This window comes from Homo sapiens, chromosome 9, assembly GCF_000001405.40.
Source record: "Homo sapiens chromosome 9, GRCh38.p14 Primary Assembly".
Taxonomy (NCBI): domain Eukaryota; kingdom Metazoa; phylum Chordata; class Mammalia; order Primates; family Hominidae; genus Homo; species Homo sapiens.
Genome location: NC_000009.12, coordinates 96,828,718 through 96,854,861, shown reverse-complemented (window position 1 = coordinate 96,854,861; position 26,144 = coordinate 96,828,718). Strand labels below are relative to the sequence as shown.

General features: G+C 37.8%; 1 protein-coding gene across 19 annotated transcripts in view, besides 2 other annotated features; it reads left to right on the top strand.

Moving 5' to 3' along the window:
• Window positions 1-26,144, top strand: part of ZNF782 (zinc finger protein 782) — a 117,643-nt gene that overhangs the window by 78,945 nt on the left and 12,554 nt on the right. For 2 of the 19 annotated variants that reach the window (XR_007061254.1, XM_011518318.4), the window contains exons 1-4: window positions 348-774; window positions 1,848-2,009; window positions 2,857-2,915; window positions 9,846-9,972. The exons of 1 other annotated variant lie outside the window; for it this stretch is intronic. Coding sequence is in view for 10 of the 18 variants with exons in the window: in XM_011518318.4 (XP_011516620.1) it covers window positions 2,901-2,915; window positions 9,846-9,972 (142 nt within the window). In the remaining 8 variants the exon portion in view is untranslated. 16 more of the 19 variants (XR_007061253.1, NM_001001662.3, XM_011518315.3 and 13 more) reach the window with 12 other exon arrangements.
• Window positions 576-645: a silencer, noted in NCBI's record as "silent region_20093". NCBI's record gives its function as "represses an Ori minimal core promoter by ATAC-STARR-seq in GM12878 lymphoblastoid cells {active_cell/tissue: GM12878}" and the evidence as "EXISTENCE:reporter gene assay evidence [ECO:0000049][PMID:35858748]".
• Window positions 926-1,015: a silencer, noted in NCBI's record as "silent region_20092". NCBI's record gives its function as "represses an Ori minimal core promoter by ATAC-STARR-seq in GM12878 lymphoblastoid cells {active_cell/tissue: GM12878}" and the evidence as "EXISTENCE:reporter gene assay evidence [ECO:0000049][PMID:35858748]".

Here is a 26,144-nt window from a genome sequence, read left to right as displayed (position 1 = left end):
TTTTTTTCAATATTTGCAATTCCCAATCCATATTCAGCTTCCCAATTGTCTCCGAAAGTCTTACGGAAAAAAAAAATGTTGGTTCAACCGGGAACCAATGGAGGGCTACTCTTTGTATTTGTCAGTAGCGTTTAAGTTTTAACCTTTAACTTCTCCCTGTTCTTGGAGAGCCTGAGCGGGAGACTTCATAAAAACTCCATCCCCGCCAATTCTGAATCGCCGAAACGTGAGGAGTCACGTCGAAGGCGGACGCAAGAGCTTATGGGAAATGTAGTCCTGAATGAGTCTGGTTCGCCGCGCAGCACTCTGGGATGGGGCTCCTGGGCTCCTTCTGCGCCTGTGCAGCCAGAGCCCCGCCTCCTCATTTGGGTTCTCGAGACTCCCGGGAAGCGGTTTGGGAAGCTCGGGGGTCGGCTCGGAAAGTAGAGGGGGCGCAGCTGGGGCGGGAGGACAGCGTTTGTGCCCGGAAGCGGGAGAGGAAGCGGGAAGTTTGTGGGATCCCCGCCCCCTGTGTCAGTGGATGCGACCGGGCGGGCCCTCGGCCTTCCCGGCCGCTGGAGAGGGACTTCGGCCGCTGGCTCCCGGGGCGGCTGAGGCTGAGCGTTGGTCCGGAGCAGGTGCCGGGTGCGGGCCGCGGTGTGCGGGACCGGAGCCCGGCGCGAGCGGCGGCGGGGGTGGGGAAAGCGCATTTGTAACGCGGGCGACAACGTGCCCGAAATCCCCGGACGGTGGGTCTGCATCGAGACCCCGAGCTCTGGAGCTGGAAAAACCCGGGTAAGTTCCATCTCTGTCAACTGGAAGCCGAGGCGAATGTAGGGACGTGGATGAGAGTCAGGTTTCTCATCTGAAAGTGAGGGTATTAATAATGACTGCTTCATGGCGTTGGTTTAAAACTTTAAGTCACCACCTGTAAAGCAAACAGCCGACTGTAGGCTACTAAGCCATGAGCGGACTGCTGCTGTTATATTTAGAAGACACTTTGTTCCATTCGTTGGGTGCCTATGTATACCTCACAACCACATCTGCATTAAATATAACTGAGGCTCAGGTCACAAGCTAGCAGTGAGGGAGCTGGGGTTCAAAGGCAGGTGTGATTTATTTCCCGTTTCAGGCGCTAATATCACACCTGCCTAAAACCAGCATTGCAGCCTTCACAGCACTTAGCAGAATGTCATGTCCCCAAATACTCAGGGAGTGGATGTAGATGGAATCTTACCATGTGTCAAATGTAGTCTGGATTTCTGGTGTGTCTTCAGATCTCTTGGGTCAGACAGGTTCCTGGCCCCTTCTGCATTGTCAGGGTGTCTCTCTTTTAAGTCTGATGTAAAGAATTCTAAGAGTCAGATTTTTGCCACTAACATGGTTTCTCAGGTCAGGTCGCAGGCTCCTTGAACAGAGCAGCCCTTGCGAGGTGGGAAGCAGGGGTCTCTGTGAACAGTTTTACCTGGAAGAGAACACCTCTCAGACCTAGGCCTCCCTCCCGAGCTTCAGAGCAGAGGCAGAAGAGCCCACAGAGGAGCAGATCCTAGATGTGTATGGTCAGAAGCAGTTCTTGATCCTCCTTCCCAGAATGAGCCAGACTTGGTGAAGCCTCCAGAAGCCACCACACAATGGGTGACAGTGGGTGGTTTGGGCCAGCTTTGAGAAGAGCAAAATGGGCTAGGTGGTGGCCAGGGACAGGCTGCTCAGGAAAGGCCACATCATTGCATAGGTCTGAGGGTAGGGGTAACCGGAGATTCTGTCCCCAGATCCCAAAGTAGCCCCCAGTCGCTTTGTTCTCCACTCTTTACAGATGCCATACTGCTGTTAACATATGTGACACTGGAGACTTTGTCCCTACCTCATAGAATCCCATGCATGATGATACATGAAGGGTTTTCCGTGGCTATCTACTTCTGATTCTTTTGAAAGCTTTAAAGACATTGGGCATGAAAGGTTCAGTGAGTTTCCGGGGATCCCTCGTTTGTGGTAGAGCCAGGAGGAAAACAGTTCCGTTCATTCTTTCACAGGTGAGTCACCAAAAGCATCTTATCCAAAGGGCCTTTTGAGAAATACATCCCAGTTAAAACATCTAAAACTCTTTGCCTTAAAGTATCTCATCTCTTTTATAAGACTTTCTGTGGATTGTCTATACCAAGGGTAAATAATATTACTAAGAAAAATAGTTAAATGATGCACACTGAATATTTTTCTGCTAAGTTAATTTTGTGTTTTGGAGACAGAGTCTCATCCTGTTGTCCAGGCAGGAGTGCAGTGGCACAAACATGGCTCACTGCAGCCTCTACCTCCTGGGCTCAAGTGATCCTCCTGCCTCAGCCTCCCAAGTAGCAGGGACCACAGGCGCATGCCACCACACCTGGCTAATTTTTTAAGTTTTTATTTTCTGTAGAGACAAGGTCATGCCATGTTGCCCAGGTTGGTCTTGAACTCCTGAGCTCAAGCTGTCCTCCCTCTTTGGCCTCCCGAAGTGCTGGGGTTACAGGCTTGAACCACAGTACCTGCTAGGTTAATTTTAATGAAAGAATAGTGTCTTACCCTGTGGTGTACTTTAATTCAACTAATCCTGTATTGTCTTTATTTTTGTGTGTGTGTTAGAAGCACATGTGCATTGTTAAATCAATTGGGAAAAGTTTATGTTCACTCAATAAAAAACAGCAGTTTAAGCCCCATAATTATTTCAGAGTTGTCGTAGACAGTGCCACCTCTACGTGGTGCTTCTCATGCCTTTTCAAGGCCTGAAGGGCCCTGTTACCTTAGGAAGGCTGCTCTCCAACTGGGTTGCTGAGATTTGGGGAGGCTAATCTAGGAGCTGTGAGGTAGGCGAGACCGTGTGACATCCTCTTTCTGTCCCCCCAGCTGAGGCTTTACAGTTCTCTATACTCTCCCAAGAGCCACAGAAAATGAACACATTTCAGGTAAGCTTTTTATTCATTCCCCACTTTGTATTGTAATGGATTTTATGAGGTTTAGATAGGCCCTTGCATTAAATGGAAAAGGAGAAATAGATAAGTAAATCTTGAGGGAAAATATATACAGTTTCACCATGAACTCTGCTGTCAGCTTTGTCAGGGTTAGTAGGTTCCCTCCAGTTACCAGTTTGCCAAGATGTCATGTTAGTCATGAATGCACATGAATTATATTAAATACTTTTTATGTATCAGAATAAATCTATAGCTGTGTCCTTGAATCTGTAAATATTGTGAATAATATAATGGATTTTCTAAAAGTAACTTGAATTCCTGTATAGACCCTAGTTGCTAATGAGTGTAGTAAGTTGCTTCTTACATGTTTTCCTAGCACTTTATGGTAATAATTTAGGATTTTTATTTCTGTGTTCACAAATTGGATTAAACTATACTTTCCTGTTTCCCTGTTCAGTTAGGGTATCATGGTTGTCTCATGAAAGGAAATGGGGCACTTTTTCTTGTTTCTTCTTTTCTAATAATTTAGAAAAATGAGAACATTGTGTTATATGTAGATTTTATGAAACTCACCTATGAATTTGGACCTTGCGAAGACTTTTTGTGTGAAGATTTTGATTATTGAATAAATGTATTAGTTCATTAGTCAGCTTCTTATAAGCTTATACTGGAGTTGTACTTTTTCAATATAATTTTTGTCATTACATTTTCATAGAAAATTGTAATCATTTACTTTTTTTATTTTTTTTTAGATTTAGTAAATGTTTATTGTTGGTTAACCATTATCAAACAAGATTTTTCTTTGTCAGTATGCATTAAGTTATAGATGTACAGAGAGACAAGGTATAAACCAAGAGAAAAATAAAATGAGATACTAAGATATTTTATTTTAAAAACCACCTTGCATACACAAATTATAAAAATTTATAATTTTCACACCGCTTTACCATCCTTGTGCTAATATACTTTAACACTGAAGATGCAACTTGCCTACTTACTTAGCACTTTACTTAGATATATTTATTAAGATGCAAAAGTTTTCATAATATTGTATGTTTACTAAAACTGGAAAGATTTTTCAATTTTAATACAAAACGTATTTGAAATTTTCAACTAAGATTCTGAACATTTTACTTTTACATTTTATTTTATGTATTTTACTACCCAGGGTCTAAAAGAAGTCAAGACAGGCCTTAACTAAAATGAAAGAGCAAGACTAAAATAATCATAATAAATGCTGTCTTTTCTTTATACTTTAAAACATTTCTTTAAAATGTTTTATTTCAATAGCTTTTGGGGTACAAGTGGTTTCTTGTTACATGGATGAATTATATAGTGGTGAATTCTGAGATTTTAGTTCACCCGTGGTCTGACAAGTAGTGTACATTGTGCCTTATAGGTAGTTTTTTATCCCTAGCACCTTTCCCTAGCCTCCCACCCTCCCCTTCTTGGTCTCTAAAGTCCATTATGTCACTCTGTATGCCTTTGCATACTCATAACTTAGCTCCCACTTATAAGTGAGAACGTACGGTTTGGTTTTCTACTCCTGTGATACTTAGAATAACAGCCTCCAGCTCCATCCAAGTTGCTGCAAAAGACATTATTTCATTCCTTTTTATGGCTGAGTAGTATTCCATGGTGTATAGGTACCACATTTTCTTTATCCACTCAGTTCATGGGCACTTAGGTTGGTTCCACATCTTTGCAATTGTGAATCGTGCTGCTACAAACGTGTGCTGGTTTCTTTTTCATTTATGATGACTTCTTTTCCTTTGGGTAGATACCCAGTAGTGGGATTGCTAGATCGAATGGTAGATCTACTTTTAGTTCTTTAAGGAATCTCCATACTTTTTCCATAGAGGTTGTCCTAATTTACATTCCTACCAGCAGCGTATAAGCATTCCCTTTTCTTCACATCCATGCAAATATCCATTGTGTTTTGACTTTTTAAAAAGGGCCATTCTTGCAGGAGTAAAGTGGTATCTCATGGTGGTTTCAATTTGCATTTCCCTGATGATTAGCGATGTTGAGCATTTTTTTTTCATGTGTTTATTGGACATTTGTATATCTTCTTTTGAGAAATGACAATTCATGTCCTTTGTCCACTTTTTTATGGGATTTTTTTTCTTGCTGGTTTATTTGAGTTCCTTGTAAATTCTGGATACTTTGTCAGATGTCTAGTTTGTAAATATTTTCTCCCATTCTGTGGGTTGGCTGTTTACTCTGGTAATTATTTCTTTTGCTGTGTAGAAGCTTTTTAATTTAGTTAGGTCCAGTTAATTTATTTTTGTTTTTGTAGCGTTTGCTTTTGGGGTATTAGTCACGAGTTCGTGGCCTAGGCTGATGTCTAGAAGAGTTTTCCAAATGTTGTCTTCTAGAATTTCTATGGTTTCAGGTCACAGATTTAAGTCTTTGATCCATCTTGAGTTGATATTTGTATAAAGTGAGAGATAGGATCCAGTTTCATTATTCTGCATGTGGCTTGCCACTTTTACCAGCACCATTTATTAAATAGGACAGGAGTCCCCAATCCACAGGGCCACGTGGTCTGTTAGGAATGGAAGGGCACAGCAGGAGGTAAGCAGCAGGCTAGTAAGCATTACCACCTGAGCTCTACCTCCTGTCAGATCAGCAGCATCAGATTCTCATAGGAGAGGGAACCCTATTGTGAACTGCACATGCAAGGGATCTAGATTGGGTGCTTCTTATGAGAATCTAACTAATGCCTGATGATCTGAAGTGGATCAGTTTAATCTTGAAACCATCCCCACCCCACCACCGCTGGTCCATGGAAAAATTGTCTTCCAGGAAACCAGTTCCTGGTGCCAAAAAGGTTGGGGATTGCTGAAATAGGATGTCCATTCCCCCGTTTGTGTTTTTGTATGCTTTGTCGAAGATCAGTTGTTGACTGTACATATTTGGCTTTATATTTCTGGGTTCTCTATTCTGTTCCATTGGTCTGTGTGCCTGCCTTTATACCAGTACCATACTGTTTTGGGAATTATAGCCTTGTAGTATAATTTGAAGTCTGGTATTGTGGTGCCTCCAGATTTGTTCTTTTTGCTCAGGATTGCTTTGACTATTCGGGCTCTTTTTTATTCCGTATGAATTTTAGGATTGTTTTTTCTAATTATGTAAAAGATGTTGGTATTTTGATGAGAATTGCATTGAACCTGTAGATTGCTTTGGGCAGAATGGTCATTTTCACAATATTGATTCTTCCAATCCATGAGCATGGGATGTGTTCCATTTGTCTGTGTCACCTGTGATTTCTTTCAGCAGTGTTATGTAGTTCTTGTAGAGATCTTTCACCTCCTTGGTTAAGTATATTATTAGGTTGTTTTTTTGGTGGTGGTGGTGTTATTTTGTTTTTGCAGCTGTTGTAAAAGAAATTGAGTTCTTGATTTGATTCTTAGCTTGGTTGTTGTTGGTATAGCATTGCTGCTGATTTGTTTACATTGATTTTGTACCCTGAGACTTTACTGAATTCATTTATCAAATCTAGGAGTCTTTTGGAGGAGTCTTGGATTTTCTAGGTATATGATCATATCATCTACAAACAGCAGTAGTTTGACTTTTTCTTTTCCAATTTGGATGCCCTTTATTTCTTTCTCTTGACTAATTGCTCTGGCTAGGACTTCCAGAACTATGTTGAACAGGAGTGGTGAAAGCGGGCATCCTTGTCTTGTTTCTGTTCTCAGGGGGAGTGCTTTCAACTTTCCCCATTCAATATGGTGTTGGCTGTGGGCTTGTCACATATGGCTTTTATTATTTTGAGGTAAGTCCCCTCTATGCGTAGTTTGTTGAGAGCTTTTATAAAGGTACACTAGATTTTGTCAAATGTTTTTTCTGCATCTACTGAGATGATTATATGATTTTTGTTTTTAGTTATGTTTACATGATGTATCACATTTATTTACTTGCATATGTTAAACCATCCCTGCATCCCTGAGGTGAAACCTACCTAATCATGATGTGATTTTTAATGTGCTATTGTATTCAGTTAGCTAGTGTTTTGTTGAGGATTTTTGCATCTATGTTCATCAGGGATATTGGTCTGTTGTTTCCTTTTTTGTTGTGTCCTTTCCTGGTTTTGCTATCAGGGTGATACTGGCTTCATAGAATGATTTAGGGAGGATTCCCTCTTTTGCAATCTTGTGGAATAGTTTCTGCAGGATTGGGACCAGTTCTTCTTTAAATATCTGGTAGAATTCAGCTGTGAATCCATCTGGTCCCAGGCTTTTTGTTGTTGTTGGCAATTTTCAAATTTTTAAATTACTGATTTAATCTCTCTACTTGTAGTCTATTCAGGGTTTCAGTTTCTTCCTGATTTAATCTAGGAGTGTTGTATGTTTGCAAGAATTTATCCATTTCCTCCAGGTTTTCTAGTTTGTGCACATGAAGGCGTTCATAGTAGTCTTGAAAGATCTTTTGTATTTCTGTGGTGTCGGTTGTAATGTTTCCAGTTTCATTTCTAATTGAACTTATTTGGATCTTCTTTCTTTTCTTGGTCAATCTAGCTGAAGGTCTATCAGTTTTAGCTTTTCAGGAACCAGCTTTTTTGTTTCATTGATATTTTGGGGTTTTTTTGTTTGAATTTCATTTAGTTCTACTTTGATCTTTATTTCTTTTGTCCTGCTAGCTTTGGGTTTAGTTCCTGTTTCTCTGGTGCCTTGAGGTATGGCAATAGGTTGTCAATTTGTGCTCTTTCAGGCTTTTTGATATAGGCATTTAACACTATAAACTTTTCTCTTAGCACTGCTTTGCTATATCCCAGAGGTTTTGATAATTTGTGTAATTATCATTCATTGAATTTGTAAATTTCTATCTTGATTTTATTGTTAACCCAGAAATCATTCAGGAGCAGATTATTTCATTTCCATGTATTTTTATAGTTTTAAAGGTTCCTTTTAGAGTTCATCCCTAGTTTTATTCTGCTGTGATCTGAGTAGATACTTGATATGATTTCGATTTTTAAAAATGTATTGAGACTTGTTTTGTGGCCTATCATATGATCTGTCTTTGAGAATGTCCCGTGTGCTGATGAGAAGAATGTATATTCTGCAGTTCTTGGAGAGCATTTTGTAAATATCTGTTAAGTTCGTTTGTTCTAGTGTGTTGTTTAAGTCGATTGTTTCTTTGTTGGCTTTCTGTCTTGATCTGTCTAGTACTGTCAGTGGTCTATTGAAGTTTCCCACTATTATTGTATTGCTGTCTATCTCATTTCTTAGGTTAGTAGTAATTGTTTTGTGAAACTGGGACCTCCAGTGTTAAGTGCATATAAATTTGGGATTGTAATATCTTCTTGTTGGATTGATCCTTTTATCATCATATGGTGACCTTCTTTGTCTTTTTTTTACTGATTTTCTTTGAAGTCCGTTTTGTCTGATATAAGAATAGCTACTCCTGCTTGCTTTTGGTTTCCATTTGCATGGAATATTTTTTTCCTTCCCTTTACCTTGAGTTTATATGAATCCTTCTATGTTTGGTGAGTCTGTTGAAGACAGCAGATATTTGGTTTGTGATTTTTTTAAAATCTGTTTTGCCATTCTGTATCTTTTAAGTGGAGCATTTAGGCCATTTACATTCAATGTTAATATTGAGATGTGAGATACTGTTCTCTTCATCACATTGCTACCTAGTTTGCTTTTTTCATTGAATTATTGGTTTATAGGTCCTGTGAGTTTTAAGCTTTCAAGAGGTTCTGTTTTGGTGCATATCAAACTTTTGTTTCAAGGTTTAGAACTCTTTTTAGCATTTCTCATAGTGCTGGTTTGGTAACGACAAAGTCCCTCAGCATGCATTTGTCTGAAATAACTTTATTTCATTGATGAAACTTAGTTTTGCTGGATGCAGAATCCTTAGCTGACAGGTACTCTGTTTAAAGAGGTTGGAGATAGGACCCCCAATCCCTTCTTTCTTGTGAGGTTTCTGCTGAGAAGTCTGCTGTTAGTCTGTTAAGTTTTCCTTTATAGGTTACCTGATGCTTTTATCTTAGTGCTCTTAGAATTTTGTCCTTCATGTTGGCTTTAGACAGCCTGATGACTATATGCTTTGGTGAAGATCTTTTTGCAGTGGATTTTCCAAGAGTTCTTTGACCTTCTTGGATTGGGATATGTAAATATCTAGCCAGGTCAGTGAAGTTTTCCTCAGTTATTTCCTCAAATAAGTTTTCTAGACTTTTTGTTTTCTTTTCTCCCTCAGAAACATCAATTATTCTTAGGTTTGGCCATTTTACATAATTTCATATTTCTTGGAGACTTTGTTCGTTTCTTTTTATTCTTTTTTCTGAGCTTTTTGTGTTATGTATCATGCTGCATCTCTGTGTACAGCTGCACGAGATAATAATGAACAGATTTTCATTCTTGTAAAGATTCACTTCCCAGCTGGGCACTATGGCCCACGCCTGTAATCCCAGCACTTTGGGAGGCCAAGGTGGGCGGATCATGAGGTAAGGAGATCGAGACCATCCTGGCCAACATGGTGAAACCCCATCTCTACTAAAATACAAAAAACTAGGTGTGGTGGCATGCACCTGTAATTCCAGCTACTTGGGAGGCTGAGGCAGGGGAATTGCTTGAACCCAGGAATGCGGAGGTTGCAGTGAGCCGAGATCGCACCATGGGAAACGTATGCAGGAATCCTATTTATAATAATTTTACCTAAAAGGGTACTAAGCTTCCTCAGTATATTAAGTAACAATGTATGTGTATGATTGTAAAATAAATACAAATAAGAGCATGAGAACAAATATGTGTGCTAATTATGCATTTCAAAAGTAAGGCAGAATTAGGGCCTTAATAAGAATCCCTTATAGCATTTTGTTTTAAATTCTCAACAGTAAACATAATGAGTTAGTTTCCGAAAACGTTTTCCTTTCCTTGATTCTGAACACTCAGATTAATTAGAAATGCGCTGTTACAGGCATCAGTGTCATTCCAGGACGTGACTGTGGAATTCAGCCAGGAGGAGTGGCAGCACATGGGCCCTGTTGAGAGGACCCTGTACAGAGATGTGATGCTGGAGAACTACAGCCACCTCGTCTCAGTGGGTGAGCACAGCTTACCATGGGGTTCCCTCCAGAGTGCAGTTCTGTTTCTCCTCTCTTTCTCTCTCTCCATACCGTACCATGTGACTCCCTCTACAGTGCAATTCTGGTTTTCCTTTTTTATATTAGTCACTTTTATTGAGGTATACTTAACAGAAAATAAAATTCAGCACCTTTCAGTGTACAAATCAATGAGTTTTGAAAAATGTATACATTGATTACCACAATCCAAATCATGGTTTGGAATATTTTTATCACCCCCCAGAAGATTCTTTGTAGCCCTTTGCAGTGAGTCCCCTCCCTCCATCCCTTCCTCCACAACCCCTGGCAACTACTAGTCTGCTTTCTATTGCAATAATTTTGCCTTTTCTCAAATTTCATATAAATGGAATCATAAATTATATACTCCCTTTTGTCTGGCTTTTCTTTAGTATAATGCTTTTGAAACTCATGCACATGTGTGTATAAGTGGTTAATTATTTTATCCTAAGTAGTGCCGCTTTGTGGGTATATACTGCAATTTATTATCCTTTATCAGTTGGTCAACATACGGAATTTTTTCCCAGTTGGTGCTTTTCTGAGTAAAGCTGCTATGAACTTTCACATACAAGTCTTTGTGTCAACATATGTTTTCATTTCTCTTGTATAAGTACCTAGGAGTGAGCTTGCCAGGTCTTTGGTAAGTTTATCTGTCTGTAACTTTATGAGAAACTGCCAAATGTTTTCAAACTGGCTCCACAGTTTTTCATTTTCATGAACAGTGTCTGTGAGTTCTCATTACTCTTTGGTTACCATTATTTGGAAAATTTTGCTGTTTTTAACAGTTCTAGTTGGGTTTTAATTTGCATTTTCCTGATGACTAACAACATTGAACCTCTTTTTATGTGCTTTTTAGCGATTCATAAATCTTCTTTAAGTGACCAGTCAAATCTTTAGCTCATTTTTGTTTCGTTTAGTTTTTAGTATTTTTGTTTGTTTAGTTGAAGAAGTTCAGACCTTTATTAGATATATGTTTTACAGACTTTTTCTTGCCATCTCTTGCTTCTCTTTTTAAAGAGAAAATGTTTTCAGTTTTTGATTTTTTGCATATATTTTAAGAAACCTTTTTTATATTGAAATAATTATAGATTTATGGGAATTAGCAAAAATTGTGTCCTCACTTTAGCTTACCCCAAAGGTTACATGTTTTATAACTATAATACACTATCAACACCAGTAAATAGACACTGGTACAATGTGTGTGAATAGCTCTGTGCCATTTTATCACATGTGGAGATTGATGTAACCACCACAGTTACAATTCAGAACTGCTCTATCACCACAAAGATCTCTTTGGTGCTACTCATTCATAGTCACACCCATGCTGTCTCTCACATTGTTCCTGATCTCTGCTGACTACTAATCTGCTAGCTCTATAATTTTGTCATTTTGAGACTGTTATATAAGTGGAATCATACAGTATTTGACGTGTTGAGACTGGCTTTTTCACTCAGCGTAATGCTCTTGAGATCCAAGTTGTAGTGTATCCGTAGTTCATTCCTTTTATAGCTACGTAGTATTTCACTGTATGAATATCATTGTTTAGCCATTCACCTATTAAAGGACATTTTGGTTGTTTCCATTTTGGGGCTATTATAAAGTTGATGTGAACATTCATGTTCAGATTTTTTGTGAACATAAGTTTTTCTGGGATAAGTGCCATGGAGTGTGATTGTTGGATTGTATGGTAAGTTATGTTTTATTCTTTAAGAAAGTGCCAAACTATTTCCCAGAGTTGCTGTACCATTTTGCATTTCCACCAGCAATGTATGAGGGATCCAGTTATTCCCTATCCTTTCTGGTACTAGGCATTGTTGCTATTTTATGTATTAGTCGTTGAACAGGTGTATAGCAATATCTCATAGTGATCCTAATTTGCATTTCCCTAATGGCTACTGATAATCAAATATCTTTTCATGTGTTCACATGCCATCTGTGTATCCTTAGTAAAATGTCTGTTCATGGCTTTTGTCCATTTTTTAATTGGAAGTTTGTGTGTTTTACCATTGACTTTTGAGAATTTAGATAGTCTAGATATGAGTTTCTTTGTCAGATGTGTGGTTTGCACATTTTTATACCAGTCTGTAACTTGTCTTTTCATCCTCTTCATGGGGTGTTTTGTAGAGCATAAGTTTTTAATTTTGATGAAGTCCAGTTTATCAGTTTTGTAAAAATGTTGTCCTATCTAAGAACTCTTCACTAAGTCTTTGGACCAAAGGTTTTCTCCTATTTTTAAAAATTGTGTAATATATTTTACATTTTAATTATGGTACATTTTGAGTAAATTTTTGTATAGGGCATGAAGTGTAAGTTGAGATCTTTTTTTGTTTGTTTTTGCCTATGGATATCCATTTGCTCCATGCAACACCATTACCCTTCATTGAATAGCTTTTTCACCTGTGTCAAAAATCAGTTGGCTGTACTTGTATGAGACTATTATATTCCCACATTATATTTCTTTTTCAATATTGTTTTAACTATTCTAGTTACTTCACCTTTGCATATACATATTGTAATAATATCATTATGTTAAAATCTTACTGGGTGTTTGATAGGAATTAAAGCTATAAATTATCAATTTTGTGACAGTTAACATCTTTACTGTTTTGAGTCTTGAGGCTTATAATCCATAAACACAATATATTTCTCCATTTACTTAGATCTTGATTTCTTGCTTCAGTGTTTTGTGATTTTCAGTATAAAAGTCCTGTACATGTTATATTTATACCTCAGTATTTCATTTGGTTGAGTAATTGTTAATGGCATTGTGTTTTAAATTTCTGTTTGCTTACAAAGGTTGCTAGTTTATAGAAATGTAATTGATTTTTGTATGTTTGTTCTTTTATGCTGAGATCTTGCTGAACTTTCTAGGGAGGCTTTTTGTAGATTCCTTGGCATTTTTTAACATAAGCTATCATGTCATATATGTATAGGGTCAGTTTACTACTTTCCTTTCTAATCTGTATGCTTTTTATTTCCTTTTCTTGTTGTATTACACTGGATAGGACTTCTAGTACTGTGTAGAATAAGAGTGGTAAGAGTAGTCATCCTTGCCTTGTTCCCAACCTTAAGGGGAAAACATCTAGTCTTTCACCAAATGATCTTTTGTAGATATTCTTCATCAAATGGTGGAACTTCTTCTGTATTCCTAGTTTTCTGAGAATATTGATTATGAATGGATATTGAATCTTGTCAAATACTTTTTATGTATATACTGCTGTGATTACATGGTTTTTCTTCATTACTCCATTAATGTAATAGACTTTGTTGACTAGTTTTCAAATATTGAACCAGCCTTATATACTTGGAATAAACCTTACTTGGTAATGTCATAGAATTCTTTTTATTTATTGTTTGATTCTATTTGCTAATATTTTGTTAAGTAGTTTTGCATTTATGAGAGAAATTGGTCTGTAGTTTTGTACTGCCTTTGTCTGGTTTTCATATCAGCATAAGTCTGGCCTCATAAAATTAGTTGGAAAGTGTTCCTTCCAATTTTCTGGAAGAGGTTGTATAGAAGTGGTGTTTATTCTTCATTAAATGTTTGATAGAGTTATCTAGTGAAACCATCTGGGCCTAGAGACTTCTTTTTGGGAAGTTTTACAAATCAATTTATTTAAGTCATATATATGGATATTCAAATTATTTCTATTAGGTGAATTGTGGTATTTTTGCTTTTCTAACAATGAGTCCATTTTATCTCAGTTGTCACATTCATATGTGTAAAGATGTTCAGACCATTCCATTATTATCATTTTGATGTCTTCAGGATCTGTATTTATAGACCTGTTTTATTCTTTATATTGGTCATTTCTGTCTTCTTGCTCTTTTATTTTTTTGTTCACTCTTCCTACAGGTTTTACAAGGTTACTGCTCTTTTCAGCCAACCAGCTTTTTCTCTCATTGATCTTTCTCTTTTGTTTTTTTGGTTTTAATTTAGTTGATTTCTACTCTTAACTTTTTACTTTTGCTTCTGTTAGGATTATTGTGCTCTTTGTCTAGCTTTTTAATGTGAGATCATGCACTATTAATTTGAGACTTTTTCTCTTTTCTAACGTACACATTTAGTGCCATAAAAAATTCAGCACTGCTTTAGCTGCAACATGCAAATTGCATATCGGGTTACTAAGACGTGTCTCTTATTTATGTCTAGAAGACATATTTCTTCTTTGATTGAACACTCATTCATATAGTATGAGACTGTATGAAGAAATGCAATTAAAACTTAACAACTGTTTAATTAATATCCACTTTTTGATAGACACCAGTGCAGTTCTCAAGTTATTCAATAGCACAGCCTTAATTTTCATAGGGTGATTTGAAGAGTTTCTGAGGTTAAGAAAACCTTTCTGTTAAAAAAAATTGTAATTTTTTTGAAGCTGGGTGAAGGATACATGAGGGGAGGGGTTCACTGAACTCTCTTTTTTACTTTTTCAAAGAAAATTTTCAAATTCAAAGGAAAAGATAAGTGTTGCTTGAGAAAAACTCTAAGGATGTCTAGGAATAAGCTAAATAAGGAAATATAAACACTCCAAGCAGAGAAAAGAACAAGCACAAAGACCCCTAGTAGAAGAAAAGATAGTGAGTACAGAGACCTGAAAAAGAACCAGTACACCTGGAACAAAGAAAGCAAGAAGGAATATGGTACAAGATGTGGAAGTGGACCAAGTGAATATATATTATTGAGGCCATATTCTGGGTTTAAAGCAATAAGTAGTCATTGAGGGCTTTAAATAAAATAGTAATCAACCATATCTGCTAAGAAATGTAATTTTTTGGCACTAAAAGAAATTACAGGTGCATTAATTTTTACTCAGCAACATATACAGTACTCAGCAACAATACCTGCATAAACACAAAATGATATATACACAAGGTTATTCATTGCAGCATTGTTTGTAAGAGCAATAGAATATCAACAACCCAAATGTACATCATTGACTAATTGGCTAAAAGTGTGTTACTTCTACACACAAATGAAGACTATGCAACTATAAAATGGACAAGAGCCTGTATACAAATAAGGAGTGATACTCAGTAAATATTAAGTCAAAAGAAGCAGTAGAATGGTGTGCATAGGAAGCCATCTTTGAGTAAGGAAAGAGAGAAGAATATACGTAACTGTTGATATTTGCAAAAATGAAACACTGGGAGAAAAATCAGAAAGTAATAAAATTTAGCAGGTGGGGGGGGTGAGTGATTAGAGCAGGAATGGAAGTGAGACTTTTAATATACCTTTTTATACAATTTGGATTTTTGAACTACATACGTTTTGCATATTGAAAGATTACACTAAATTTAAAAGGTAGTTCTTAAATGTGAAAGTTTTAGAGACTGATGGTTCCAGATAAGATTGATTACAGATACTTCTTCCTGTTCCTCCCTTTAAGTACAGCTAAAACCACTAGACATTATATACAAAACACATAAGAAGACTTTGAACAGTGAGAGAAGGACACAGACAAGCTAGGGACATTGGAACCCAAGAAATGACACCTCTTTCTCAGTTTTATTTTTGCCTAATGTATCAGCCTGAAACACCAATTGGTACAGACAAAAAAAAAAAAAAAAAAAAAGTCCCAAGTAAAGCCTGCTTCCTCTAGACAAAAGAACAGGAAAGCAACCACCCAGAAAGACAGAAAATTTTAGACAACTGCCCTACCCTAGCTAAACACTATGGAAAAAAACTGCAGCTCTCTTCCATCACCAAAAACTGACTTCCACCCTGGTTCTAGAGTATCAGAGTACTCCTCTAGCTCTCTAATGGGGTGATTTCAGATGAGGCCTAGTGGTAAGCCAGGACTCTTCCTACCAACTGACAGTAAAAAGTTGCCTGGATAGGCCAGGCGCTGTGGCTCACGACTGTAATCCCAGCACTTTGGGAGGCCGAGGTAGGTGGATCACGAGGTCAGGAGTTCAAGACCAGCCTGGCCAACATGGTGAAACCCCATCTCTACTAAAAATACAAAAATTAGCCAGGCGTGGTGGTGGGTGCCTGTAATTCCAGCTACTTGGGAGGCTGAGGCAGGAGAATCACTTGAACCCCGGAGACGGAGGTTGCAGTGAGCCAAGATCACTCCACTGCACTCCAGCCTGGGCAACAAGAGCAAGACTCTGTCTCAAAAAAAAAAAAAAAGAAAAGAAAAATACATCAGGCTAACACTAATCAAAATTGAAATAACTATTAATTTCAGACAAAGCAGACTTCACAACATGGAAGATCATCAAGGATGGAAGAATATTACATAGTAATAAATGGCTCAATTCTCTAAGAAAACATAACAGCCCTAGACATTTATGCAGTTAAAAACAGCTTCAAATTATATGAGGTAAAAAACTGATAGAACTAAAAAGAGAAATACACAAATCTACAATTAAAATAGGGAGATTTAAACACCGCTCTGTCAGTATTGGTAGATCAAGCAGGCAGAAAATTGCTGAGGATATAAATGACCTGAACAGCAGTGTCAGCCAACTTGGATCTACTGACATTTTTAGACTACAGCAATAGAAAAATATACATTCTTCTCAAGTGCATGTAAAACATTCATCCAAAGAGACATTCTAGGCCATAAAGCACACTTTAACAAATGAAAAAGTACAGAAATCATAAAAAGTGTGCTTTCAAACCATACCAGAAATCAAATACAGAAAGATAGCAGGAGCATTTCCAAATATTTGGAAATAACCAACACACTTGTCAACACATGAGTCAAAGAAAAATTCTCAGTATAATTTTTTGAAAACGAAAGTACAAGAAATTTGTGAAATGCAGCTAAAGCAATAATCAGAGGTTAATTTAAGTGTTAAGTGCACATAAAAGAAAAAGGCAGGGCACAGAGGCTAACACCTATAATCCCAACACTTTGAAAGGCCAAGGTGGACGGATCACTTGAACCCAGGAGCTCAAGACCAACCTGGGCAACATAGGGAGATTCTGTCTCTACAAAAAAATATAAAAATGAGCCAGGCATCATGGTGGCATGTGCCAGTAGTTCCAGCTACGTGAAAATGAATAACAGAAGGAAGACTAGAAATGTTACAAATATGTGAAAAATTAACAAACTCTTTAACTACCAAGGGGTCAAAAAATCATAAGACAAATTAGAAAATACCTTGAGAGAGATGAAAATACAACATAGCGTACCTTCTGGATGCAGTAAAACCAACAATAAGATGGAAATGTATAGCTATAAACGCATACATTAAGGAAGAAGAAAGATCTCAAATAATAACCTAACTTCACGTCTTAAGAAACTAAAGAAAGAGCAAACTAAACCTAAACCTAGCAAAAGGAAACAATAGTAGAGATTAGAAGAGAGATAATGAAAGAATAGAAAAACAATAGAGAAAATCAATGAAACCAAAGTTCTTTTTTAAAAAACCAACAAAATTGATAAACTTTTAACTAGATCAGTTCAGAAAAAAAGGGAAGACTCAAATTACTAAACTCAGAAATGAAAATGGGGACAGTATTAGCAATTCTACAGAAATAAAACTGATTATAAAGGAATGCTGTGAACAACAAATTAACCTAAATGAAAGAGACAAATTACTTGAAGTACATAATCTACCAAAACTGAATCATGAAGAGATAGAAAGCTCAAATAGACCTGTAAGTAGTGTCTAGTACCATTCACCAAGTAAAGGAACCAAGATTCCTTGGGAAAATGGTTGATTCTAAGGGCTAGGCGAGAAATGTACAAGATGAGTGTGGGGCATCTTGTAGAACCAGAAAGTAAGGAAATTGCTCAAAAAACAAAACTATGGGAGTGTCTCAGTCCAGTTTGTGTTGCTAGAACAGAATACCTGAGACTGGGTAATTTATAAAGAAAAGTTTGTTTCGCTCACAATTCTGGTGGCTGGAAAATCCAGGATTGGGCAGCTGCATCTAATGAGGGCATCATACTGCTTCAACTTATGGTGGGAAGTGGAAGGGGAGGGGCCATGTGCAAAGAGATCACATGGCAAAAGAGGAAGCAAGAGAGAAACCAGGCTCTTTAACAACCCGTTCTCACAAGAAATAATCTATTCCTATGAGAGTGAGAACTCAACCCTTTGGGAGGGCATTAATCTGTTCATGAGGGATCTACTCCCATGACCCAAACATCTCCCACTAAGCCCCACCTCCCAACACTGCTACATTGGGGATCAAATTTCACCTTGAGTTTTTGCAGGGATGAACCACACCCAAACCATACCATTCTGCCCCTAGCTCCCCAAAACTCATGTCCTTCTCATATACAAAATATAATATTCCATCCCACTAGTCCCAAAAGCCTTAAGTTTTTCTAGCACCACCTTAAAAGTCCAAAGTCCAGCTACAAGCCTGTAAAATCAAAAATAAGTTATTGGGCAGGCATGGTGGCTCACACCTATAATCCCAGCACTTTGGGAGGCCAAGGTGGGTGGATCACCTGAGGTCAGGAGTTCAAGACCAACATAGTGAAACCCCGTCTCTACTAAAAATACAAAAATTAGCCAGATGTGGCATGCGCCTATAGTCTCAGCTACGCGGGAGGCTGAGGCAGGAGAAGCGCTTGAATCCGGGAGGTGGAGATTGCAGTGAGCTGAGATCAGACCATTGCACTCCAGCCTGGGCAACAGAGCAAGACTTGGTCTCAAAAAAAAAAAAAAAAAAGTTTTTTACTTCCAAGATACAATGGTGGAATAGGCATAAGGTCTGAAACCCAGCAGGGCAGACATTAAATTTGAAAGCTCCAGAATAGTCTCCTTTGACTCCATGTCCCACATCCTCAGCACACTGGTGTGAGGAGTAGCCTTCCAAGCCCTTGGATAGCTCCACTCTCATGGCTTCTCTCTGCCCAGCTTACATTGCTGCTCTCACAGGCTGAAGGCAAATGCCTGCAGCTTTTCAAGACTGAGATTGCATGCTACTGGTGGCTCTACAATTTTGGGGTCCTAGCAGTGGCCCTAATCCTGAAGCTCCACTAGGCATTGCCTTAGTGGAGACTCTGCAGTAGACCTAACCCAAATTTTTGCTTGGCCTTGCCCTAGCAGAGGGTCTCTGCAGTGGCTCTGCCCCTGCAACAAGTCTCTGCCTGGGCCTATAGGGTTTTTCATACATACGTTGAAATCTCAGTGGAGTAACACACACCTCCATGGCTCTAGCATTCTGCAAGCCTGCAAAATTAACACTACACGGACCCCAAGGCTTACTGCTCATGCCCTCTAGACATAAGCCAGGGGATGTAAGGCTTATGCAGCACAAGCCTTACTGGAGCCACTTGACCCCATGGCTGTTTCAGCTGAAGCAGCTAGGATGCAGGAAGCTGTGTCTCAAGGTGTCCCAAGTGCAGCAGCCTGGCCCTTTCCCCTGAAACTATTCTGCCTTCTTAGGCTTCTGGGCCTGGAATGGGAGAAGCAACTTGAAGATATTCAAAATGACTTCAGGGTCTTTTTCCCATTGTTTTGACCTTTTGCTTATTCTAATCTCTTTAGCAAGCAGTTGCTCAGCCACATCAATGGATATCTTTTCTAAAAATTCTCCTTCATTCTCTTCCACACGGCCAGGCTGCAAATTTTCCAAATCCTTCTACTTTGCTTCCTTTTAAATTATAAATTCCATCTTTAGATTATCCCTTTGCTAGTATAACTCCAGCATAAGCTGTTAAAAGTAACCATGCCACTTCTTGAGCACTTTGCTGCCTAGAAGGTTCTTCCACCAGTTATACTAGTTCACCACTCTTAAGTTCTGCCTTCCATAAAGCCCTGAGGCATGGAGACAATACAGCCACCTTCTTTGCTACTGTGTAAAAAGGATGGCCTTTTTTCCAGTTCCTAATAATGCTTCCTCATTTCCATCTGAGATCTTAGCAGAATGGTCTCTACTGTCATATTTCTAGCAGCATTTTGTTCACAACCATTTAACCAATTTGTAAGAAGTCTGAAAGTTTCCTTTGTTTTCCTGTCTTCATCTGAGCCTCAGTAGAATCACCCTTAACGCTCCATTCATGGCAATACTGGCCTGCCCCTCCAAATTTTTCCAGCCACTACCCATTACCCAGTTCCAAAGCTACTTCCGCATTTTCAGGTGTTTGTAAAGCAACAACCCACTCCTTGGTACCAATTTTCTCTCTTAGTCTGTTTTGTGTTGCCGTAACATAACAAGTGAGACTAGGTGATTTTTAAAGAAAAAACATTTATTTAGCTCACAATTCTGGTGGCTGGGAAGTCCCAAATTGGACAGCTTCATCGGGTGAGGACGTCATGCTGCTTCAACTCATGGCAGAAAGTGGAAGGGGAGCAAGCATGTGCAAAGAAATTGCATGGAAGCAAGAGTGTGAAACTGAGGAATCTCTAAATAACTCACTGTCACAGGAACTAGTACATTCCTGTGAGAGCAAGAACTCACGCCCATTGAATGGTGTATTAGTCCATTCTTATGCTGCTATGAAGAAATACCTGAGACTGGGTAATATATAAAGGAAAGAAGTTTAATTGACTCACAGTTTCACATAGTTGGGGAGGCCTTAGGAAACTTGCAATTATAGTGGAAGGCACCTCTTCACAGGGCAGCAGGAGAGAGAATGAGTGCCCAGTGAAGGGGGAAGCCCATTATAAAACCATCAGCTCACGTGAGAACTAACTCACTATCACGAGAATAGGATGGGGGAAACCGTCCCTATGATTCAGTTTTCTCCACCTGGTCCGTCCCATGACGTGGGGATTATGGGAACTACAATTCAAGATGAGATTTGGGTGGGGACACAGCCAAACCATGTCAGAGGGCATTAATCTTTTCATGAGGGATCCAGCCCCGTGACCGAACACCTCCCACTATGCCCCACCTCTCAACACTGCATTAAGGATCAAATTTTAACATGTATTTTGATGGGGACAAACCATACCCAAACCATAGCAGGGGATACGTCAAAGAACAGGGGAGCCAACTGAAAGATCTCCCAGTAGCCAAAATTGCAACAGTTTGAGTAATAAAATAAACAACATAGTATTGGTTCATAACCCAAAGTATGAAAAACTCGTGAGTCCATATTGATATAAATAATTGAATAAATAAGAGAGAATAGAAAATCTCCCAAATAGAAAAATTCCTAATAATTTATGTAGTTACTCCTCTTCAAGGAAGTGGAGCATAATTCTCCTCTGCTGTAGTGGACTGTGCCTGGTGACAGTCTTCTAAAAAGTATAGTATGCATACTGGAGAAAAGGAATAACTATAATGGAAAATCCTGGCATCCATTACCTCCACCAGGTGATCAAAGTTATCGTCAGTGATAAGTCTGTTGATGGCATATTCCCTTGATGAGATGTGATGAGAATGGTAGACACTTTACCTCTGTGGTCTTTCTCTGAGGAATACATAACCCCACTTTAGTTATGAGGAAAACATCAGATAAACCAAAACTGAAGAACATTCTACAATGTCCTTTAAACTGTCAAGGTGACCCAAAATACCACAAAACACTTATAGTTTACAGGAGCCTACAGAGACAGGATGACTGAATGTAATGTGGGATCTTGGATGAAGCTATAGAACAGGAAAAAGACATTAGGTAAAAAGGAGCTCTGAATAAAGTGTGGACTTTATTTCATAATGTATCAGTATTATTAGTTATGAAAAAACTGCCATCGGAATTTCTGATGTTATATGAGAAAACTGGTAGTTTCAGTTGTTAATAGCGAGGGAAATTGGTTGCTAGGTATACAAGAATTCTTTCCATCCTTGCAACTTTTCTGTAAATCTAAAGTTACTCTAAAACTTTTTAAAAAATCATTACATGTGCACAGCAGCAGAAGAGAGAAGACGGAGAGAAGAATTGCTGAACTTTATGACAGAACAATAGAAATGAGTCATTCTTTACAGAGAAAAAACTAGACTGAATAAAAATGAACAGAACCCCAGAAACTACAAGAAAATCTCTAACGTTTGTGTAATTTGAATCCCATAAGAAAAGGCTAAAAAAAAAATTCAAAGAAATAATGGCTAAAATTTTCACAAATGTGGCAAAGGACATAATCCTAGAGATTCAAGAAGCTGAGTAAATTCTATACAGGATAAACCCAAAGGAATTCATGCCAAGAAGCATAATTATGAAACTTCTGACAACTAAAGATAAAGAAAAAAATCTGACAAGCAACTAAAGGGAAACAATATATTACTTCTGGGGAAAAAGAATTTGAATACAAGTGGATTTCTTATTAGAAACCACAGAGAACACATTTTTCAAGTGCTGAAAGAAAAGAATTGTTATCACAACTCTTTATCCAGCGTAAATATCTCTTGGAAATGAAGGGAAAATTGAGACATTCTCAGATGAAGGGAAACTAAGAGTTTATTGCCAGCATACCTACCCCGAAAGAATGGAAGGAAGGAAGTTCTTGGAACAGAAATCATAAAAGGAATCTTTCAAGCATCAGGAAAGAAGAAAGAACAATGCAAAGAGTAAAAATGCTGGTAGATACAATATGCCTGCCTTCCCTCTTGAGTTTTCTAATTTTGTTTGATGGTTGAAGGGAAAAATTGAACATTCTCTGATGTGCTTCTCAATGTATATAGATGAAATAGTTAAGATTATCATATTATAAACAGGAAGCAGATAAGGGACTTAGAGTCCCTTCATCTTTACACTCCACCTCAACCAGCAAAATATTGACACTTGTCACAGTGAACTGTGGTAATATGTGTATAATTTAATATATAGAGTAACCACTAAAAAAACTACATTAAATGGTATACTCAAAAATATTACAGAAAAATAGATAAGTAAAAAATGGAATTCTAAAAAAAATGTTCAAGAGAGAAGATCAGGGAAAAATGAATAAAAATTCAAGGGAACAAAAAAAACAAATAAAATGGCAGCTTATCAAAAATTACGTTAAATGGTCTAAATATACTAATTAAAAGACAGATTGAAAGAGTTGGTTTTTAAAATTCACCTAAATGTATGCCATCTACAAGAAATTCACTTAAAAAATAATAGGTAGATTGAAAGTAAAAGAACAGAAGAAGGTATACCATGGAACATTAATCATAAAAAAGCAGGATTGGCTATGTTAATATCAGATAAAACAGACTTCAGAGCACAGAAAATTATTGGTAACAGAGTGATGTTACATGTCAGTCTGCCAAGAAGACAGCAATTTTTTTTTTTTTTTTGAGACAGAGTCTCACTCTGTCGTCCAGGCTGGAGTGCAGTGGCACTATCTCAGCTCACTGCAACCTCCACCTCCTGGGTTCATGCCATTCTCCTGCCTCAGCCTCCTGAGTAGCTGGGACTACAGACGCCTGCCACCATGTCCAGCTAATTTTTTTTTTGTATTTTTAGTAGAGAGAGAGTTTCACCATGTTAGCCAGGATGGTCTCAATCTCCAGACCTCGTGATCCGCCCGTCTCGGCCTCCCAAAGTGCTGGGATTACAGGTGTGAGCCACGGCGCCCAGCCTAAAGACAGCAATTTTTAAATCCTAAATGTTTCAACATTCTGAGAGATACATCTTATGCAACTGTAGTACAATGTCAGTATCAGGAAGTTGACATTGGCACAACAAGTGTATAGTTCTGTGTTATTTATCACATATATAGATTGGTGTAACCACCACTACAGTCAAGTCAACAGAACTATTCAGTCACCACAAAGAGCTTTGTCCTACCCCTTTATATAAAGTCAGCCCAACTCCTTTTACTATCCCTTAACTCATGGCAGTCACTAACTTGGTAAGCTATCATTTCTTTTTAGACTTTTCAGCCCCTCCCTTTCTCCCTTTTCTCCCCTCCTTCTGAAACTTCTATGACACAATTGTTAGATATTATGTTATAGTCTCACAGGTCCCTGTGGCGTTAGTCTGTTTTCTGTCTGTTGTTCAGATTGGGTAATTTCTGCTCTTCTATATTAAAATTCATGGATTATTTCCTCTGTCCTCTTCATTCTGCTGTTGAACCCATCCACTGAGTATTTAGTTATTTTTCAACTCTAAAATACCTACTTCATATATCTTCTCTTTCTTTGCTGAGACTTTCTATTTTTGTTTCATGTTTCTTATTGTTTGTTTAAACATTTATATGATGGCTTATTTAAAGTCTTTATCAGATATTTTTAACTTCCATGCCATCTCAGTGTTGGCATCTATTGATTGTCTTTGCTCAATCAAGTTGAAGTTGTCTTAGATCTTGGTATGACAAGTGATTTTAGATTGAACCTATTTGGAAATTATAAGATCTGTGTCTGATTTAAATCTTCTCATGTAGCAGGCATTCTCTGACACCACTGTGGCAGGGGAGGTTGGGGGGTGCTGCCTTATTATTAAAAGGTGGGCTGAAAGTCCAGGTTTCCTACTCAGCCTCTGTCGGCACCTAGAGGAGGAGGGATTGTCATTACTGCTGAATGGTAGTGGTGGTTCAGCATCCCCATTATGCCTTCACTGATAACACCCTGCATGGTAGGATCTGGAGTGCCTCATTACTGCTCCCCATGGGGCTTCTACTGACACTGGGGGGCAGGGGACCTTGTCACTGCCTGGCTTGGAGACATGTCTCAGCCCCGTCAGCCCTCTCTCACATGACCCTGGTGGAACAGTAAGGGAGCCTTCTTACAGCCTGGTGAGCACAGACATTTGAGTTCCCCACTTGTCCTTTCATGGCAGCAGTAGAAGTGGAGAACATATTTTTTATTTTGTGTTTGGCTGAATTAAGAACAGTCGTTGTCTAAAAGTTTTCAATCTTGTTAGGCTGCCTCTTTCCTGAACCTCTGGCTTGAGAGCACAAGCTTTGGGTTTTATGTTTTGTCTTGTTTTTCCATCTCCACATTCATGTTGTTTGTTGCCAGCTTCTCCAGCTTCTAATTTGGAATATATGAGGCCAAAGAGAAGTGCGGGGAACTCATCATTGTCATTCCTTGAGTCCTGAAGTCCTTGAACAATCTGCTGTCTTCTCTCTACCTTTCAGCATCTTATGTTTTTAAATATATAATATCCATAGTTTTTAGCTATACATGCCAGAAAAGATAGGAGAAAGTACCTCTACTCCATATTTCTACTAGAATATGGCTTTTTTATTTTAAATTTTTGGCTCTTTGAAATTTTTTTTACTATTATTGCTTTCTCAATTCCTATTTGGAGAGCAAGATTTTTTAATCCTTTTAAAGTTTATTTAAACTTGTTTCAGGGCCCATCTTATGATTTATCCTGGTTAAATGTTTCATATGTATTTGAAAATAATGTGTTTTCCTTTTGGATCGGTGTTCTGTAAATGGAGGTCATGTTGGTTGATAATATTCTTCAACTCTTCTGTACTTCTTCTTATTTACTTGTAATCTACTTCTATAAATTATTGAGAAAGGAGTTTTACTGTCCAGCTACAATTGTGGATTTGGTTATTCTTCCAGTTTCATCAGGATTTGCTTTATGTATTTTGAAGTAGTGTTATAAAATGGAAAAACATTTGTGATTGTTATATCCTCTTGATTAATTATTCCCTTTATCATTATGCAGAATTTCTCTTTATATGTGCTATTTATATATTATAAAACCCATAATAAATAATATTGTCTAAAAAGATAACTTGAAAGATAATGTTCTATTTAAAGAAAAGAATTCCAAGAATGAGAAAAGTATATTTTGTTTTCATCCTCTTTTTTCCAGTTTATGGTGCTCTTTATCTCTATAAATTTTTTTATATAAATCAGAAATTTTCATAGTACCATTTTTCTTCTGTCTGGAAAATTTAACATTTCTCGTAATACACATCAGTTGCTGATAAATTGTTTCAGCTTTTTTTTTTTTTTTTTGGTCTGAAACATCTTATCTTTGCCAAGTATAAAATTTTAAGTTGATTTTTTTTCTTTAAGTACTTTAAAAGTATCACTTCACTGTCTTCCAGACTGTAAAATTTCTAACAAGAAGTCAGCTTTAATTCTCTTTGTTCTTCTGCATATATTATGTCTTTTTCTGTCTACATAAAATTTTCTTTTTTTCAGCAGGTTTTAGCAATTTGATTATAATGTACATTGGTGTGATTTTATGTTTCCTCTTGGCATTTATTTAGCTTCTTGGATCTGAGGGTTTATATAGGTCATTAAAATTAGGAAATTTTGGCCACTGTTGCATCAGAATTTTCTCTCCCTTTCCTTTTTTTCTTCTGGAATGCTGATTACATAT